This window comes from Homo sapiens, chromosome 1, assembly GCF_000001405.40.
Source record: "Homo sapiens chromosome 1, GRCh38.p14 Primary Assembly".
NCBI classification, from domain to species: Eukaryota; Metazoa; Chordata; class Mammalia; order Primates; family Hominidae; genus Homo; species Homo sapiens.
In genome coordinates, this window is record NC_000001.11 from 59,945,574 (window position 1) to 59,966,973 (window position 21,400).

At 38.9% G+C, this 21,400-nt stretch overlaps 1 protein-coding gene across 1 annotated transcript in view; it reads right to left on the bottom strand.

Moving 5' to 3' along the window:
* CYP2J2 (cytochrome P450 family 2 subfamily J member 2) overlaps positions 1 to 21,400 on the bottom strand; it is a 75,905-nt gene that overhangs the window by 52,266 nt on the left and 2,239 nt on the right. Inside the window, exon 3 of the mRNA XM_047447499.1 lies at positions 18,810 to 19,078. The gene's annotated coding sequence lies outside the window, so the exon portion shown is untranslated. The remainder of the gene's footprint in view (positions 1 to 18,809; positions 19,079 to 21,400) is intronic.

Genomic DNA, 21,400 nt, shown 5'->3' on the forward strand with positions numbered 1-21,400 from the left:
AATTATTATCTTCCATAAATTTTAGACTTAGTCCCCATACTTCCCAATTTCCTTTTCTTCAGAATTTCCTGGCTATTCTTTAAATTTCAATTTTCATTATACACTTGAGAATCAGCTGCTCTAGCCAATTACGAGAAAAGTCCTGTTGGCAACTTGAATAGGTTCCTATCAAACCTGCTCCTCTCTCTGTCTTCTACATCCTAGAAATGAAAACTCCATCCTCTGGCTTCTCAGGCTAAGAAGTTTGGAATCATCCTATTTTTTCTCATTCTTATACTTCAAGTGTTAATTGGCAAATCTACTTCAGTCTACCTTGTGTATCTATCCAGAAGCCAATCATTTTTCACTGCCTCCACTGCTAGCATCTTTTCACAAATCATCCTTATCTCTCATCTCCATTATGGCAAAAGCCTGCTTTAACAGTCTTCCTGCTTTTATGGCTGCCCTGTGAACATTCATGCACAATCGTGCCAGAGTTTAAAAACAAAATCAGATCATGCCATTCCATTGCTAAAGTACCTGTCTAATGCCTTCCCATCTTACTCAAAGTAAAAGCCACCATCCTCATGATGTTCTGAAAGGCTCTATATGGCCTGGCTTTTGTGATCTCTCTGACTTGATCTAGGATTCTCACCTTCTTTTAGTCTACTGTTGGCACCCTGCCCTCCTTAAATGTGCCAGGTACCCTCCTGACTCAGAGCCTCTGCTCCGTTCTTTCCTCTGCCTGCAAAGCTGTTTCCCAAGATAGCTGTATGTCCTTTTTCCTAATCTCTTTCTGGTCTTTGCTCAGAAATTATCACCTCAATAAGAATTTTTTCTGACTACTCTGTGTAAAACTGCAACTCCTTTCTTTCCTACTTTATTTTTTTCTTACACCATTAATTCTCATTTAGCATATGACATGCACTGATAGTTTATTCTTCCTCTGCTCCCCACACTAGAATGTGAGCTCCATGAGGGGAAAGGTTTTTGTCTGTTTTGTTCACTGCTATGTCGCCAATGATCGGTACACAGTAAATATTCAGCAAACATTTGTTGACTGAGTCAAGAGACACAAAATGTAAGGGAAAACTTCACACTCTAAGAAGTACAGAAAATAAAGCAATCTGAAAGAGACATTAAGGAATGTCAAATGTTTTAAAAGATGATGAAGAGATTAGATTTCATAAGGTAAAAATGTTAGAGTTTACACATAACAAAATAACTTTTATATTTACAATAGCACCAATACAATTTCTAAATATGAAGATATAATCTTTGAAATTATAATACCTAATGCATATAGTTCTTATATATGCATAAATATAATAATCTTTGAAATAATAATACCTAATGCATATAGTTCTTATTAATTCCTGGCAACTTCTGAAGCATTTTAAAAGCATTTTGTAAAAAAAAAAACTAATTTAATTTGAGGAAGATGGGAAAACGAAGACATAGGGGTGAAGTGAAGGATAGCCCCAAACTATTCATCCATTAAGTGATGAAGACAGGATTCAGACTCATGCAGTCTCCTGACCTGTATGCTGTTCTCTCTAGCTACTTTTATTTCTCCACTGTGCTATGCTCCTCCTTGAGACTTATTTTTTTTTGTCTACAACATAGAGGTATGAGGTTAGGCTACACAATGTGCTACATTTTGTAAAGCAAAACAGTGCATGGTCTGTCAGTGGCTGCACTGCCAAATCCCATGGAATGTCATCTGTGTAGTTTGAAAACTAAAACACCAAAAGAATAGATTAGTATTTGACCTGGAGAATCCCAAAGACTATTTGGCGAAAACCCATAAAGCATCATTAACTGCAGAAAAAGTGCATTCCCCTTAAGACAGGCAATATAAAACAGCACCCAAGAGTGCAGTTAATTGGAGAGCTTAGGTGAAATCTGACGTTCTCAGCTGAGCCAGAGAGCTTCTGGGATGCGATGGGTTGAGTCCGCCCCCATGTGGTCTTAAGGTGCAACTACAGAAGTAAGCCAACTCCCAGAGTTGCTAGGAGAGCTTGGCTGTTTTCATGTTTCTTTCCAACCACTATGTCTCCAGATCTAAGGCCATCGATGAGAGTGATCACGCCAGTAAACTTCTAGAGAATATTCATTGTCTAAACTGACTGTATGATAAGGTGTGAATTCCTGAGAAAGCACAGCATTCCTAGCTGTTCATAATCTGGGCCAGCTTAACTTCCCATCCTTGGCTCCATCTAAGGGCATCTTTATTTCCTCCATGAGGGAGGCACACTCATTGCTCTGTGCTTCTGCATGTATAATCTTGTGGGCTGGAATGCCCTATGCATCCCTTTCTACTGGAAGAAGTATCCATAATATTTGAAAACTTAGCTTAAAAATTATCTGTAACCCTTGTGTCTCTGCCACTAAGAGCCTGAGTCATTTTGGGAAGAATGCAATGGTTCTTTCGGTTTTGCATCTCCCAGACCCCTAAGATTAGGTGGATTTGCATTTGCACCAGGGGTTGCACAGGATTCTCTGTCAGGATGAAAATGGAGAATCTTCATTTTTCTAGTGAAAGTTGGTGCCCACTAGAAAGTTGGTGCCCTTTGCTTTAACATAGTCTTAATTGCATTTTATTTCAAGAGGTTTAAATAATCAAAACCACCTAATCTGGCACCCTTATTTCCCACCTTGACTATTCTTAAGTGGTCTCCTTGCATCCATTCTTTTCTCCCTCAATTATTCTCTAAACAGTTATGAGAATGGTATGTCCAAAAACTCACAGTAAGAGACTGTTTTATATGAAATCCCCTGATGGCTGTCCATCACTTGCCAGAGTGGCCTTCAGATGTTTTGAGTATGCACATCTATTAGTAAAATACTTTGCAGCATGCACCAACAACATAAACTTATTTAGGCATTTATAAATCATATAACTGTACTACTATGGTCATAAATTATTTATGTTATAAAACATACAAAAATAAAAATTAAAAATTAAGATAGAAAAATATTAATACTCATATTGTTATTAGATTGGTGCAAAAGGTTTTGCCATAATGGCAAAAACCACAATTACTTTTGCACCAACCTAATATTAACAGTATACACTACCTTATTGCACTAATAATCATATTTTTGATGACAGCAATGCAATTGGATGCATTTGATTATTTTTGAAAACCTCAGTTAAACCCTGTGTTGTTCTACCTTCAGTTTATTTGGGTATTTCATTTAAAGGACTGCTGTAGCAATATTATCATTATCAAAATTTTTTTTCAGCATCCTGATGGAGAATGTAGTGCAACCCTTGGTGCAAATGCAAACCCATTTTGGAAAATACTGACTTAAAGAAGAAAATCCAAGCTGGGTGAAGTGACTCACACCTGTAGTCCCAGCTACTCAGGAGGCTGAGGAAGGAGGATGGCTTGAGCCTAGCAGTTAGAGGCTGTAGTGTGCCATGATTGTGCCTGTGAATGGTCACTGCACTGCAGCTTGGGCAACATAGTGAGACCACATCTCTGAAAAAAAAAATGAAAGAAAAAGAACAGAATTCAAACTCTCCTGATGGCATTCAGAAGTCTTTACAGGCTGATCCAACTCCTCCTTCTACCCTGTCTCTGTTGTTGCCTATATTACTGACATACTTGATCTCAGACCTATTGCACAACTTATGGGTCCATAGAGCACCACATAATTTCCTATTTCTATGTTTTTGCGTGTGCATGGAATGTCCTTGATCCTCTTTGTCTGCTATGGATTTCTAGTCATTTTTCAAAAGTATGGATATAAAAGCTATTTGTCTTTGAGTTTTTCCAAATCCCACCCCTGACTCCTAGAATTGACTGCTTCCTCATGTGGTATTTGGATAAAATCCTTATGTTCCCTTTGACTAAATATACTTATTTTTTAGTGTATTGTATATTTTTGACTTATTTGTATCAATTTACTGTTAGATTTGAGGGAAGAAACTGTATATCCTTGACAACTTTCCAAGTTCATGGAGTTCAAAAAATGTTTGTGGAGTAAATAAGTGAACACCAATATCTTCCATAAAGTCTGCAGGCTAATTCCATAAAGTCTCAAACAATTCCATCATGAGTAAACCCCGGTAACCCCCAATCACTAGAGGGAGCAGGTCCTAATTTCTCTAGTGGGATATCTTGATCTGTGACTGGAAGCTTTTTTTTTTTTTTTTTAGAACAAGTGCAAGATTTTATTGAGTGGAAGTAGCTCTCAGCAGATATTTATTTTTCCCTTCCTTTACAGAAGTCTTCTTGCCAGGGATTTTTTTTTTTAATGGCTCCAGTCACCTGGAGTATTCTGCTCCACCCTCTCAGTACCACCCCAGGACTTCTGCTATTGTTTGCCTTACTACTTTCAAGGAAGAAGGAGGGGAATATTCTGTTGGCATTTTTGGATGCTCTTTTCTTTTTCCTCCTGTTGTTGTTCTGTATCATCTGACCTGGTGAAAACTTTTGGGAATGGGGAAGAAGCATAGTCCAATTCAAAGACCTGAACAGGTCAAGACTCTCTAACAACTAATGAATTGCACTTTGAGCTGAATGGTCCATTGTCAACTCGGTATTATTAGCACTCCAGCTAAAGACTCTAAGAAGCCATGGACTCCATTTCCGAGAATCTCCTTCCCATACAGTTTGGGTTAGAGCTTACCAATGAGTAGGAGAAACAGGATATTTGGTAGGTATGACGGAAGGAGACACTGCTCTTCTCCAGTCAGTTGCAGCCCTAAGTAGGTACAGGTACAGAATTCAGAGAGGTTCTTTTGTGAGCTGTCAAGACCATTTGCTTTGCTGCAACAGGACAGCACAATCAAGAGCTTCCCAGAGCTCTTCATATTTCATTGACTTGATGGCAAGCTCTTTAGAGCCCATTTCAGATCCTCAGGCTGAATCTTCAGTGTTGGCCTCCCTGACATTTGCTTCCCAGCTTTCCAAGTGGATGGGTAAGTTCTTTACACCTGGAATACTTGGAGATTTTTCTGCATTGCTAACCAAACTCTGCCATCTCTTGCAGTAATGAGGTAGTGAACAAAGGAGATAGTTAGGCTGTTTACAATGAAGCGGGTAATTTAAATCACCCCCGACCATAGTGGCTTGACCAAAAGCCATTTCTTTGCTCCCAATTCTATGGGCCAGGACTTTGGGCAGAGCTCAGCTGGACTGTTCATCTCAGTCCTGTGTGCACTGCCTGCTGTGGCTCAACTAAGATGGGGAGGTCCAAGACGGTCTCATTTGACATCTGAGGCATTGATGCTGGCTGTCTGCTGGGCACCTCAATTCTCCTCCACATGTCCCTTCTGTCCGCATGGTCTCTGACTGTTCAGTGGTCTAGCTGGAATTCTTTTCCATGTTGGCTGGCTTCCAAGAGGGTGAAAGCAGAAGCTGCCAGGCTTCTTAAGGCCTGAGCCTGGACCAGCATAGCACCACTTCTGCCAGATTCTATTCCTCAAAGCAAATACCCAGCCCAAATGGAAGGGAGGGGAGCTAGATTCCCCTCTTGAAGGAAAGAATGGCAACGTACCTTTGTAAGGAGCATGGGAGGAATTGTGGCCACTTTTGAAAACAATTTCCACACTAGCTAAGGAAACTGACATAGAAATGGTTAAGTTACTTGCCCAAGGTCACTCAGCAGCTAAGTAGCTGGGCCAAGGTTTGACCTTGATCAGTTCAATACCAGTGTTCATGTTCTTTACCTCTACATTCTGTTGCTTTACAACTTCCTTTTTATTTATCTCTGATCCTTCTCCAGACTACATGGTTTTATGTCCAATTCCCACATGGCTTTCAAGGCCCAGAAAAATGTCACTTTCCCTGTTTTTCTAAGCTTGAAATAGTCCTACAGCTTAAACTTTCATAGCATTTCTCTTAAGGTTCTTCACATTTAAAAAAAATAATAAAGCAAAAAATCAGATAACTGAAGCAGAACCTTGAGTGTTTTAATATTTTAATCAATATATGTGGTCCTTATCTTCCCTGTAAGCCTGTTAAGAACCCTGTAACTAGGCTTGGGTCCTATTTATCTATCTCTTGGATCATATAGTGTAAGACCAGTACATAGTAGTAATTAACAAATACTAAATGACTGGTCATGGAATGAGCCTACCTTATTTCTGAAAACCCCTTCTGACCTCTCAGTGCACCAAGAAATGTATGGTGACTGAAAGTAAGCTCTGAGGGTCTTAATCCCATCCTTATTAGTCACCAAGGACCCTCCTGTCTTCTCTCCCGACCTTGCTCTTTCCACATGCCATGTCCAGCTAGCTTCTGGCCCTTGGTGTAATACCATATCTTTGGCTCAGCTTTTAACTATCAGTTTTGACATTCTTGTTTTTGACCCTATTGCCCTCTGAGCAGCGCTTTTAATCAAATCTCCTACCCCACTTCCCATCTCTGTCATCGAAACTATGGCTTTGACCACTCTACTATCTTCTTCATAATATCAGGGGTAGGGTCTGTTTTGTTCATTGTTGACTACCCAATACAAAGTTCACTAAATACTGTAAGGCTAGCACCAAACCTATGCACTTAACCAGGCCCACCCTGGTCCCAAATGAGACTGTGTTTCAGATAGAGTGAATGACAGAAGCATCTAATGAAGTGCTGGGGGCTGCCTTTGTGCTAGGGAGGAGCATGAGGGCAGGCTTCATCAGAAGGGCTTCCCATGAGCCAGTAAGCTGAGTAATCCTGAGGGACGCATGCCTAACATAGCCACAATGAACCTTGTGTCACAGGGGTCAACCAGTTGCCAATTCTCTATGCGTATGCTTTTTTTTTTTTTTTCTAAACTTCCCTGGAGCATATTTGCTTATTTAACTTTCCTTAATAACCAGCAGATGGCTTCTGTCTGGGCAATCATCAGCTGGTGCTTAGCAATGGCAGATTCAAGAGGAGGCATGGGACTTGTTAGGGGTGGGGAATCCAGAAGACAACATACAGAATGCCAGGTGAAGTTATCAGGCATTGTCTAATTGGTGTTGGAGGCAGTGAGGGCAGCCGAAAGCGGTATTAGGAAGAACCCTTCCCAGAAGGGGGAGACTGCTGCTCAGCAAGCCAGGCAGAACCAGAGAAGACAAGGACAACTCCAGAATAAAGACTAGTTATTTTCTGAGTCCTCAGCAGCTGGCACAGTATATCAGAAATACAAGTACTCCATCAATGTATAGCAAATATAAACTGGGAGTCATCATTTATTCATGTGTTCATCCAACAAATATGTGTTGAGTCCTACTGTGCACCAGGACACACCCAATGCATAGAAGCACTGGAGATATAGCAGCCAGCAAGGCATGGTCCCTCCTCTACCTATCTTTTGTTTGCATGAAAATGATTAAGTGCATTCATGCAGTAGAATAAGCAAAATGAATGGTTCGCTTTGCTTTAGGGAAACAGGATCAGGTACACAGTAAGTAAGGCATGGAAAGGATATTCAGCAACTGGAAAAGAGTGAAATGCAAACATATGTAGTCAGAGAAATAAGTAAGACCATAGAGTTAGAGAAAACCTAGGAAGGTCAAGGAAAAGCTCTCCTCTGGCCTGCTTAGTAGCTCTTCCAAGTGTGGGGATACACATGATGCAAAAGGTCATAGGCGAGGAAGGTCAAACCACTTATGACAACGGGTGGCTGCCCTTTGTGTCAGAGCCCAGGGAAGTTCTCTACTTGAATGCTCACTAAGTCCTCAGCACCTGTCTAAATAAGGCTTGTGATTGGGCTTAGTCTAATTATTAGTGTGGGAAGCATTTAATCATGCATTCAACAAATATTTATTGGGCACCCCCTCTGTGCTAGATACTGTTCTAGGTCCTAGAACTATGGTGATAATGTATATAAACACCATGACAACAGCCTGCTTTATTCTAGAGAAAAAGAGTAAATGAAAAAATGATTATATGATAATATATCGGGCAGTGATAATTGGTATGAAGGCAGTAGCATAAGTTGATAGAGAGAGACACCAGTGTGTATATGTGTGTGTGTGTGTGTGTATGTGTGCGTGCTTATAGAGGGTGATTACACTTTTCCTGCATGCTTTTAAGTTAGACATGGCCAAGAAGATGTGAGCAGTAACATATGTCATAAAGAGCCTCTGTGGGGAAGTGGCATTTGAATGGAGATCTAAATGAATGGAGGCAGTAGGCCACGTGAGGGTATTAGAGAAAGTGATCCAGAGAGGGGAAGCATTGCAAAGTGTTTTCGGTGTGGCAAAAATTTGGTAATTCTGAAAAATAGCAAGGAGACTAGTGTGGAGTACAGTCCAAAGGGAAGAGCAGTGGAAGATGAGCCTGTGGTAGTAGTAAGGGTCATATCATGGAGAGATTTTAGGCCATAGTAAGGAGTGTGATTTTATTTTAGGAGTGACAGAAAGACACTGGAGAACTTGGGACCAGAAATATTGTTGCAGTTGATAGCTCTGTGCACAAATGTTCTCTCTTCCTATGGTCACATGGTAGGATTACACCTTCCAGCCCACTTTTAAGTTAGACATGGCCAATAAAATGTGAGAAGTAACATATGTCATGCTTCAGTAAAATCTTTGAGTCAGTGTCTTATTTATCACTTTCTACTTCCCCCATCCTGATATTCACGGAAGTGTGTCACATCCACTCCTCCATCAGCCTGGGTCTCTGGGTGACTGCAATTACGCAGCTCATCTATGCAGTATACGTAGAATGAATGAGAAAAAGGAAGACTATGTTAAGTGCTGAAATTTTGTGATTGCTTTGCTGCACAACTAAGTCTATTGTGACAAATACACATTTAACTTGTTTTACATGTTTAAAAATCACTTTGGTTCAGTTAATACTGTGAGTAATGTACCTATCTGTCTACATCTCCTCCAAACTCCACTAATATGAGAGCAAAGATATAACATTGAACATGAGTGGAAGTGGAGAAAACAGCAGATGACAAGACATACAAATGAATGAAGAGTGAACAAAGGAACCTATTTTATTTCAAATGAATTAAATAACCATTTTGAAGGGGAGAAATCATCTAAGGAATACAAGAACATAATACTTAATAATATATCCTCAGTCTTGGTGGGTCGGGGGGGGATGCAAACCAAGCCTAAACTCTTATTAGTAGTTTCATTTGTTGCAGAGATATGGGCAAAACAATTTTTGAAATATTTTAAATATATTATAGGATCAAACCCATGAGTAAATGTGTTAATGTTTTGGGGAACCAAGATTCTCATTATGAAGGAGGAGACAAAAAACTATGGAATGCAGGAAGGCATGAAGAAATCAAGTGAAGCTGGGTTACATTTAGAGGTATGTTTGGCCTCATGATTTCTTATATATTTAAAATGTAGCCAGGCATGGTGGCACATGCCTATAATTTCAGCACTTTGGGAGGATGAGGTGGGCGGATCACTTGAGTCCAGGAGTTTAATACCAGCCTGGGCAACATGGCACAACCCCTTCTCTACAAAAAAATACAAAAATTAGTTGGGTGTGGTGACATGCACCTGTAGTCCCAGCTACTTGGGAGGCTGAGGTGGGAGGATTGCTTGAGCCTGGGAGGCGGATGTTGCAGTGAGCCAAGATTATGCCACTGCATTTCAGCCTGGTGATAGAGTGAGACCATCTCCAAAATTAAAATAAATAAATAAATAAATAAATAAATAATTAAAAAAATAAAAAATATGTGCATATGCACGTGTGTATGTATGCATATATATGTATACGAATAAGGATATATATATATCCATATATATATCCATATATATATATCCATATATATATATCCATATATATATATCCATATATATCCATATATATATGGATAAGGACGGGTTCTTGCTTACGAGAGAATGCTGAGTGCCAACTTGTAGATAGGAAGGAGGGATGGCCCTAGAAATTAATCATTTAATAATATCATCATAATGAAGACTGGTTCAGGCAAGAATCATCAATGGATGCTTAATCTAAGGGGACATTTTGACGAGGAGCAGGATATTTTCATGATCTTAAAGTGCCTGCCCACTGATTGCTTTTTACTTGCAAAGAAAAAATAGCAACCATACAGTGAAGATACTGGGCAACACTAAGACCAGGTAATTAAAATAAACATCACCAATGAGGGACACATCCTATGCCTCTGATTTTGGTACCCAGACAACAATACAACATCATGTATGTAGTATTCTGGGCTAGAACGCATAAACTTAATGTATGCACGAGGAAACATTAGATAAAATGAGGAAGGTTCTATTTAAAAAGTGAAGAAGGGGGTTGGCTGTATTCTTCAAAATGTCATTGCTTTAAAAGAAAAGGAAAGGCTGGGGAAATGTTCTAATATACAGGAAACTAACGAGACGACACATGGAAAAATGCTATAAAGGACATCAAGTGTGTGTGTATGTGTGTGTGTGTGCATGTGTGTTTATTTTTTCTGAACCATTTGAGGGTAAAGTTGCACACATCATGACCTCATGCAACTTTATTCTCACTTGGCTTGTAAAGCTATTACGCATTTATATATACAGAGATGTATACATATGCATATGTTACATGCGTATGCCTACCTAGGTACACACATATATAGGGAGAAAGTGAATGGGAAAGAGAAAGAGAGGAGGCACTCAAATTATAGAACAAACGGCAAATAGATCAAAATGTTAATAGTAAGTGAAAATGGGTAAAGAGTATCTGGGTGTTCGATATACTATCTTTATTCTTACAACTGTTCTACAACTTTGAAATTATTTTCAAATAAAAAGTAAAGAGAAAAGAAATTTCTGCAGAGCCATTGTGTTGGTCAGTGCTAGAGATGGTCATAAGGAAGTGTGTGTTGGATGTTCCATCAGAATGTGAAATTATAGTGTGCTCCTGAGTGCAATAAACTCAGACGTATTTTTCATCTGATGATACCTTTGAACTTATGAATATGAGTACAGTATTTTAGAAGGAGAAGAGGACTCTCTTCTCTTTTTTCAATGTTTCAACTTCTGGCTATGTTTTTGTCTTTCTATCCAAACTAATTTTAATAGACGAAGTAATTTGCAAGAAACAACAGGCATTTTCTTGCATTGGTGTGATACAGTGCACAAGTTTTCTAAATGCTAATTAATTCCAACTTACTTTACCTGCTGTTTCAAAGGCTGGCAACTGATATTCATGATCTAAATGACAGCTGTTTCTAACCTCATATTCTTGAAAAGAAATAAGAAAAAAATAATTTTAAAAGGAATGCATCAGTTTAAAACATGCTGGAAATTATCTGTTTTTCATTGAGTGGTGGAATTTCTATGTCCCTCCCCTTGAATCTGCTAACTGGTGGAACAATAGGAAAGCTGAAGTAGCATTTGGTGACTTCTGATGCTGAGTCAGAACACACATGTAGCTTCTGCTTATCTTAGCCATAAGCCACCATGTAAGAGGCCCTATTACCTTCAGGCCACTAAAGTGACCCATGTGGAGGGATCACATGGAAAAGCCCTTAGACTGCATGGAGGGCGATGCTGGCCTATCCCCATCATGCCTGTTCCAGTACAGTTTGACTAAAACTGCATGACAGAGCCCCCCACTTGGGTGCTTCCAGAATTCTTGGCCCACAGAAACTGTGAGAGGAAAGAAAATAATTGTTTTTGTTTTTAAACCATTAAGTTTTAGGATGATTTGTTCAACGCAATGATAGGTAACCAGCTCACAGAGGGAAAGGGGATGGAGGTATTGAAAGACAGGAGACAGCTGAACAGTAGGATCTGCAGAAGGGAAATGGCAGCAAAAAGAAATTCCATTAACATAGCAGAATCTTGGAAAGATCTAGAAGTTGGAGGACCAGCTACCAAGGAAGGTGGGGGTGGGGCATGAGGCTATTTCTATATTGTAAACAAGTCATCCTATTTCCTTTGAGCCAGGCAGTTACCTCTTCTTTATTCCAGCAAAGAATAGGACATATGCTCTGTGGATAAACTGAAGCACAAGAGCTCTGAACTTGACAACACCAGGCATCGCAGACCCTGAGGGAGAGCTGCTACACTAAAACCAGGAGGATTCAGTAAAGGCCTGTAGTGAAATCCTCACTTCCCTTCTACCCATTCACTCATATCCTCCAATCCATTTTCAAGTGCATCCTTCTTAGCCATGATAAACAAGGAAAGTTCCATTATGAGAAATATTCACAGACACACAGACACACACACACACACACACACCACACACACACACCACACACACATGAACATTCATTTCCAGACTGAAAAGGCAAAAGGCTTACCAAGTATTGAACTCAATGAATAAAAAAGGCCCACACAATGACACACGGTCTTAAAATTTCAGAGCATTGGGGTAAACAGATTACTCTAAGAGACACCATAGGATGGGAATGAGATGCTCCTCAAAGAATAAAATAGAATAATGGCATTAGCCTTCTGGAAGCAATACTAGGAAATTATGGAGCAATACCATGAATACTGTCTTGGCACACTCCTTAGCAGGATTTAAATTGATGGTAAGGAACACAGATCTCTGTGCTCTTGACAAGACAATATGGTCTCTGAATATTTCTCTCTTTACTGCTAAAAACTGCCTAAAATAACAGTTCTATGAAGGAAGCTAAAATTAGAACTGATTACCCAATTTCTCCTAACAGACCACATCAGGACACATTCATTCTGCTTTACTACTCTGAACACTGTCCCCAGAAGCCCTGCATTCTTAGATCTTCCCACATTATCCAGACCTGTATCCCTATACATTCTGTACATCCAGATTTGCCAAACATTTCACGTTACCCAATGCCCCAATCCTTCCACTGTGCCCTTTGGAATTCACAGTTTATTATCAACAAAATTTTCCATATCCTTAACCTCTTGTCCAAAGGAGGGCTTCAATTTCTTGCTCTAACTGAAACTAGGTTCTCCTCTGGGAATACCGCCTCCCCCATAGTCATTTGGTTACAGTTCTGTTAACTGTTTTTGTCCTCCCAGGTCCTGGTATCACTGGAACTGGAAGTGGGCAGGGGTCCTTCTCATTGCCTTTCCTTCCTAGAACATCCCAGTTCTCCGGAAGCCCCAGTCCCCTCCACTCCAGAGTGCTGCAGTTAGTCACCATCGAGCTAGCTGTCTGCTGCTCTTGTTCATTGACTTGGCATGTAACTTACTCTCTTTTTTTCCACATGTCCTCTTTTCATCATTCTTAACCACCACATTACAGATACGATTCATTCTCCATCCAACACCTTAATCACTTAGGTCCTTAACCTCCTTACCGTCAAGAATCTGATCTTCTATTCATGTTAGCCACACTTTCCATGCTTATACTCTAGACCATGCAATTGTCTCTATGTGAACAACCTCCAAAAATCTGTTTTTAGTATCCCATTCTCCTTTCTAGTTTCTCTATTTTCTTCTAAACTTCATTCCTTGATTGCCTCAATACTTTATGCTCCTGCAATTCATTCACTTACCTTATCTGCCCACTTTTTAACTAGCTTAGATTCTATGACCTGTAATTTTATATATTTTTTGCTTTCCTCCTGTTCATCTGGCCCTGCTCCTAAAGCCATTGCTTTTATGTATGCTCAGATCCCGCTCACCTTCTCAAAGATTTCCCTCCTGCAATTAGGCCCCTTGTCCTTTGCATGATTAATTTCTCCCTGTATGTTGGATGATTTCCTTAAGTGCACAAGCATGCCTTAATATTATGAAACATGAAAAAGAACATCTCTTAACTCCATGTCTCTAACTGCTATTTTCTTCCTATGCTCTTTGTATAGTAAAATTCTTCAAAGAAATCCCTTATGTATTATAGTCCCACCTTCTCCACCAGAATGTAAGCCCTCATTATGGAAAACAGTGTGTAGATTCCTTACATAACTAAAAGTAGATCTGCTATTTGATCCAGCAATCCCAATACTGGGTAACCACCCAGAAAAAAAGAAGTCATTATGTGAGAAAGACACTTGCACACACATGCTTATAGCAGCACAATTCACGATTGCAAAAATATGAAGCCAGCCCAAATGCCCATCAATCAATAAGTGGATAAAGAAAATGTGAGAGATATATATATATGTATGTGTATATATGTATGTATGTATGTGTATATATGTGCTATATATGTATATATGTGATATATATGTGTGTGATATATGTATATACATATATGCACATATACATATATATACATATGTATATGTATACACACCATGGACTACTACTCAACCATAAAAAGGAATAAAATAATGGCATTCACAGCAACCTGGATGGAGTTGGAGACCATTATTCTAAGTGAAGTAATTCAGGAATGGAAAACCAGACATTATGTGTTCTCACTTATAAGTGGGAGCTAAGCTATGAGGACACAAAGGCATAAGAATGACACAATGGACTTTGGGGACTCCGGGGGAAGAGTGGGAGTGGGGCGAGGGATAAAAGACTACACACTGGGTACAGTGTACACTGCTCGGGTGATGGGTGTATCAAAATGTCAGAAATCACCACTGAAGAACTTATCCATGTAGCCAAATGCCACCTGCTCCCCCAAAACCTATTGAAATAATAATAAAAAGAATGCAAGCTCCTGGAAGTAAGGAATGCCTTAATTTGGGCTTTTCCCAAAGCAAACCCCAAGATAAGCACTTGAGTGCAGAGTTTATTTGAAAATTGTAGGGAAAAATGGCAGGAAAGTGCAAAGGTGATATAGGGAAGGGAAAACAGCCAATAAGGATGCATTATTAGGTTAACTATCATAGTGAATGACTAGAGCTAATTCTCATGGAGAAACTCTGGGAAATGGAATAAGACCAATGCTATAGAATTACCCCATCCGAGTGAAGAGAGAGCTGGAGAAATTATACAAATTAACTTTTCTCAGCCATTGGTTGGGAGATGCTGCAGGAAAGTGTTAATTCCACGGCACTTTCAGATGTAGATACACAGGGGAAAGTACACTGAATGGTCCAAGGCACTGATAGTGCCTGTGTACAGGAGGCTTATCAGTCTTTGACCACTGCATACCCAGAGACTAGAGCAAGACTGGAAATTAATAGGGGCTTAATACATATTTTTGGAATGAATACTCAGCCAAACTATCAATCAAGAATAAAGGATTTAGGCGGAGGCGGGTGGATCACTTGAGGTCAGGAGTTAGAAACTAGCCTGGCCAACTTGGTGAAACCCCGACTCTAGTAAAAATACAAAAATTAGCTGGGCATGGTGGCAGAGGCCTGTAATCCCAGCTACTCAGGAGGCTGAAGCAGGAGAATTACTTGAACCTGGGAGGCGGAGGTTGAAGTGAGCCGATATTGTGCCACTGCACTCCAGCCTGGGTGGAGCAAGACTCCATCATCTTAAAAAGAAAATAAAATAAAGGATTTGACCAAAGTGCCAAGACAATTCAATGAGGGAAGAACAGGTTTTTCAACAAATGGTGGAACTGGATATCCATAAGAAAAAGGATGACTTTTGACCTCCACTTCATACTATACACAAAAATTAACTAAGTGAATCATATCCCTAAATATAGGTGCTAAAATGATAAAACTCTTTGAAGAAAACATGGAAGTAAGTCTGCATAATTTTGGGTTAGGCAATGATTTCTTAGAGACAATATCTAAAGCTCAAGCAATAAAATAAAACATGATAAATTGGGCTTCATCCAAATTAAAAACTTTTGTGTTTCAGTGATACCAATAAGAAAGTGCCAAGACAACATACAGAATAAAAGAAAATATTTGCAAATCATACCTGATCAGGAATTCATATCCACAAAGAAGTCACATAACTCAATAATTAAAAGGCAAATAACACAATTAAAAATGAGGAAAGGATTTAAATAAATATTTTTCCAAAGATGTATGAGTGCCCAAGAAGCATTAAAGATGTTCAACATCATTAGTCATTAGGAAAATGCAAATCAAAACTACAGTGAGATATTACTTCACACCCACTAGAGTGGCTATAATAAAAAAGACATACAACTAAGGTATTGGTGAGAATGTGTACAGAATGAAATCTTCATACATTGCTGGTAGGAATGAAAAATGGTGAAGCCATTTTGGAAAACATTCTGGCAGTTCCTCAAAATCTTAAACATAGAGTTACCATATAACCCAGAAATTCCACAGCTATATATAATGAAAAATGAAAACACATGTCCACATAAAAATTTATACATGGACGCTCATAGAGGCATTATTCAGAGTAACCAAAGAGTAGAAACAACCCAATTATCCATCCACTAATGTGGATATTAAAAATGTGTCATATCCATACAATATTATAATTATATAATAAAAATCTGTCACATCCAAACAATAGAATAAAAAGAAATGAAGTACTGATAAATGCTGCAAAATAAATAAACCTCAAAATATTATGCTTACCAAAGGAAGCCAGGCACAAAAGGCCACATATAGTATGATTGCTTTTATATGAAACTTCCAGAATAGGGAAATCTGTAGAGACTAGGATGAGGTAGATAATAAGGAGTGATGCTAGTGATAAGGGATTTTTTTTTTTGCAGTGATAAAATGTTCTAAAAATAGATTATGGTGATGGCTGTACAACTTTGGAAATATACCAAAAACATTTAATTGTATATTTTAAATGGGTAAATTTTATGGTATGTAGATATCTCAATAAAGCTGTGGCTATATTAAAAAATGAAGGCAGAATGGAAACATTTTAGAAATTCATGTTTCCCAAAAATTTATCATACAGAAATTGCTGCCTAGGAAGTTACTGAAGGATATGTTGCATTGAGTCAATGGGACAAACCTAAAAGTATGTAAACCTATAACCTAAGTAACTCATAATTCTGGGTCCCTAATGTAAGACAGCAGCAAAGGGAAGCCCAGGATGGCAGCCATGTAGCCAGCCTGAGAAGAAACATTGCTAAAAAGGAACCAGAGGAGAAGAGCTCCAATAGGGATGACTCCAGGGGGAAAAAAATTCTTTTGGTTTATACATTTTGTCTTGGGAAAAATACCACTTAGAGTAGACTCTTGGAGAGCTAGCAAAGAATTAGAGCTGGTAAGATTGAAAATCAAACAAACAGAGAAATAGTCAATTAACAATTCAAGAAAGACAAAAAATCTGTAAAAATGGAAATGTAATCAGAGTAAACTACTAGGCTCAGCAGTGAACAACATTGACATAGTCATAATGTTATAATTGAATAGGGATACAACTGGTGTTGCTGAATTGACCAGTGACAATGCAACACACCAACTAAATGGCAGAGGTGGGATTAAAATCTGGGTATCCTTGAGATTAACATCCACCAGAACACTACGTTGACACTGTAATTCACAAGTTTAAAAGTGCATGACATCTGGCTCTACTATAGAGTAAACAAACCAATTATCCCATCAATCTTTGAGAAAAGTCCATTCCAGCTTTGCAACCATCCAGTTTCTGAATGCTTTTGTTTTTCTCAACAAGCTGACTCCATTGAGTGAATATGGATGAGACACCATCTTTTTGAATATTTTAATGCTTATGTATTATAAAAGTATTATGTATTATAAAAATTGTTCTCATTTTCACCAGAACATTTTGTTTTTAAATAGCTCTATTGAGATATAATTCAAATACCTATGTATGTATCATCTCACATTGAGATATGCAATTCACCCAATTAAAGGGCATAGTTCAGTGGCGTTTGGAATTACATTCTTAATTTTTTAAGTTATGGGAAAATATATACATGAAAAATTTGCCATTTTAATCATTTTTAAGTGTACAATTCAGAGACATTAATTATATTCACAAGGTTGTACAACCATCAGCACTATGTAATCCCAAAACTTTTTCATCACCCCAACAGAAACTCTGTACTCGTTAAGCCATAACTCCTTCATCTCTCCTCTCGCATCTTTGGGTAACCTCTAATCAACTTTCTGTGGTTGAAAATTTGCCTATTTTAGATATTCCATAAAAGAAGAATCATACATTTGTCATTTTGTGGCTTACTACCCTTAGCATAATGTTGATGACATTCATCCATGTTACAGCTTATATCAGAACCTCATTCCTGGGCTGGATGATATTCCATTGTATGTATATACTACATTGTGTTGGTCCATTTATCTATTGATGGACATTTGAGTAGTTTTGACCCTTGGGCTATTGTAATTAATGCTTCTATGAACATAGATGTACAGGTATCTGTTCAACCCGTTTTCAACTGAGACACCATCTTGAAATAAAAAATACATGAAATTGGGAGTCAGGCGGCCTCAAGTGTAGCCCTGGATATGTCTATGAATAGCTATCAGGTCCTGGAAAAACAACTCTCTAAGCTGTTTTCTCATCTGCAAACAAGACAGCTTTAACATTTTTTATTAGAACACTTCTAGACACTGGGGTTTAACAAAACAGTTCACATGAAAAATAAAATTATCTGTTATACTCTGTGAGTAAAAACATATTTTATAAATTAAAATTTATAATAGGAATTTATAAAGCAAGACAATGACCATAGTTTATCATGTTTCAATACCTAAAAAAAATGAAATCAGAGACTACTGATGACAGTCTGTGTCTATTTAGCCCATTGATGTGTCTCTTTTTGAAAACACAAGACCAGCCTCTTAATTTTTTTGACTTACTGACAGGCGTAGTGTCTGATCAATCATGGCCAAAACTTATTTAAACTGGTTCAAGTAAAATTTATGAGAAGATATTGGGTAGGTCAAAGAACCTCCAATTTGGATAGAGAATAGGGTCAGATAAGATGCAATCACCTTTCTGGAATGTGTTTAGCTGCAATCTCACCTCTGCCTGGCACTGACAGTGTGGGAACCAAGCGTGTGAATACTACCACAGTACTGGGATGTCAGGCACTAATGTCCATAGAAGCTCACCATCATCACTTTCTGCTACTTACGTACTCCAGGAATGGATTCAGTCAGTGCCTGCTTTTTCGCATTTTATGTTGTGAATGAAAATCTCAAAAGGCTGCAACTAATGGCCAGAGCACAGGTCACATGTCTATATCCTAGTTGCAAGAGAGACTGGAAAATTGAGTCCCAGCTTCTAATTTGCAGAGATGGCATGCATAAGATGAGAAGCTCCTTCAATATAGAAAATTTACTCAAAGCTCATTGTTGGCCACCAATTGGACAAATGTCCACTGCAGTCCTGAGTTTTTTCCTCCTGAAAATAAAGGTAAATTCCATATGATAAGCTTGCATTTTAAAAGTTCACAGTCTGATTAATTTAGTAAAATTTCAGTTACATTACAGTTTCATTACAACCTTTCAGATTGTAAACTTTTTTTCTTGTTTTTCCTGAATGCCATGGGAAACCAATGGAGAGTTTTGAGCAGAGAAATAACATGATCTGGCTTAGCTTTTAAAGAATATCTCTTCACACTATGTGGAGAAATTTATATTGGGAGGAGGCAGGAGTAGTACATGGGGCCAGTTAAGAGTCTATTGTAATAATCTAGATGAGAGATGATGGAAGCTTAGGCCAGAATGACATATGAAAGATCACAAGAATAGGTCAGACTGAGGATATATCCTGAGATGAGAGTTTATAGAATCTACTGATAACATAATTATGAGTATATGAAAAATAGAGGAGTAAAGAGTAATTATAATGTGTTAGATGAGCTGAATTGTCATTTTCTGAAAAAGGGTGAAGCAAGTTTAACAGTAGCGATGTTGGTGGAGAATTAGGAGTTCACTTTTGGTACCGTTAGGTTTGAGATATCTCTTAGACAACCAAGTAAAGATATTAAACAGGGAGCTGGATGCCTGCAATTGACAGGAGAGGGTGAGGCTGGAAATATAAACCAGAGGACACTGAATATAGCTGGTATATAAAGCCCTGGGTTAGATGAAGTCAACTAGAGAGTGAATGTAGATAAAGAACAGAGTTCAGAGGGCTGAGCCCTGGGCTACTCCAACTCCACGACACAAATACAAGACATTTGTCACATTTGGGAAAAGAAACACAGAGCATAAGAGATACAGTGTGTTGTCATCTACTGTCAGAGTGGCCCAGCTTCGGCAAAGTTGACGACATGGACTTTCCTAAGTACCCCTTTCCTGCACTTGCTGTGTGGTTGTCCTGGGATGAACGCTCAGTGGATTGACAGCCCTGACCAGTGGTGTACTTGGTGCTGTGGCATTACTAGGGTGTACCCAAATTCTGTTTTTTTGTTTTTGAGACAGAGTCTCACTCTGTTGCCCAGGCTGGAGGGCAGTGGTGTGATCTTGGCTCACTGCAATCTCTGCCTCCCAAGTTCAAGCTATTCTCATGTCTCAGGCTCCCGAGTAGCTGGGATTACAGGCACCCCCCACCGTGCCCAGCTAATTTTTGTATTTCTAGTAGAGACGGGGCTTCGTCATGTTGGTCAGGTTGGTCTCAAACTCCTGACCTCAGGTGATCCACCTGCCTCAGCCTCCCAAAGTGCTGGGATTACAAGTGTAAGTCACCATGCCCAGCCTGGGTGTACCCAAATTCTGACGATCATGAAGCTTTGTGATTTTATGTTAGTTGAGTAAATTGTGAAACCATTGGTAAGCTCTCTTGTCCTTAGTGTGTGGCAGGGTTAATTTATTTTGGAAGGCTTGTAATGTTTAAGATCTGATGCTACCTTCACATTTATCATAGATCCCACTTGTCCTGTCATTAGTTGGTCCAGGAGCAAGATGGTGGCAGAGAGAAATAGTGGTTAAGCTTGATTCTGTCTTATGGTAACATAAGCTCAGCCCAGACTTTTCATGTTAACTAAACTTTTCATTAGAGCACTCCTCTCCTTCCTCAACTTTATCTCTTTCCAAAGGCCTTCCTGGCATTCTCTACTTATATCCTTTCATGGAGACATTAATGAAAGACTTGGTATGTCCTGGGTACCATAAAATATTTAAAGTTTTTTATGGGATTGTCAAGCAATCCCATGATGTAGATATTTCTTCTTCCTACCATTTCCAGTTTACAGATGAGGAAACTGAAAGTCACGTAGATTACACAGCTGGTAATGGCAGAACTGAGACCCAAACACAGGTCTTTGACTCCAAAGCTGGTGTTCTTTCCACTTTATGACACTGTTTTTGCCTAATGCAACATGAAATGTGCTATGAACAAACATGTAACAAAACTGCTGGGTGGTTGTTGGTGAGGACTAAGTAGGTTTTATGAGAAAAAATGCAGGTGGGGCCAATTAAGAAAACAAAAAGCAGCTGAATTTCTTTAGTAGCAACACCTTTGCCAAAAGGTAGGCGTCAGCAGAGGAAGATGAACGTTATCTGTGACTGTCTTCACACACCAGCTAGTTTGGTTGAATTCACTTTGGCCAAGCAGAAAAGGTAAGTGACATAAATTTTCACCCATATCACTAAACCGAACACATTTGACTGAATTTGTTACTTTCTGGATGGTTGTTTATAATGAAGTCCTGGCCTTTCTAAGTATTGGTGGTGGGTGGTTGAAAGGCACAAGTTCTTTAGATTAAGGAAATCCAAGCTC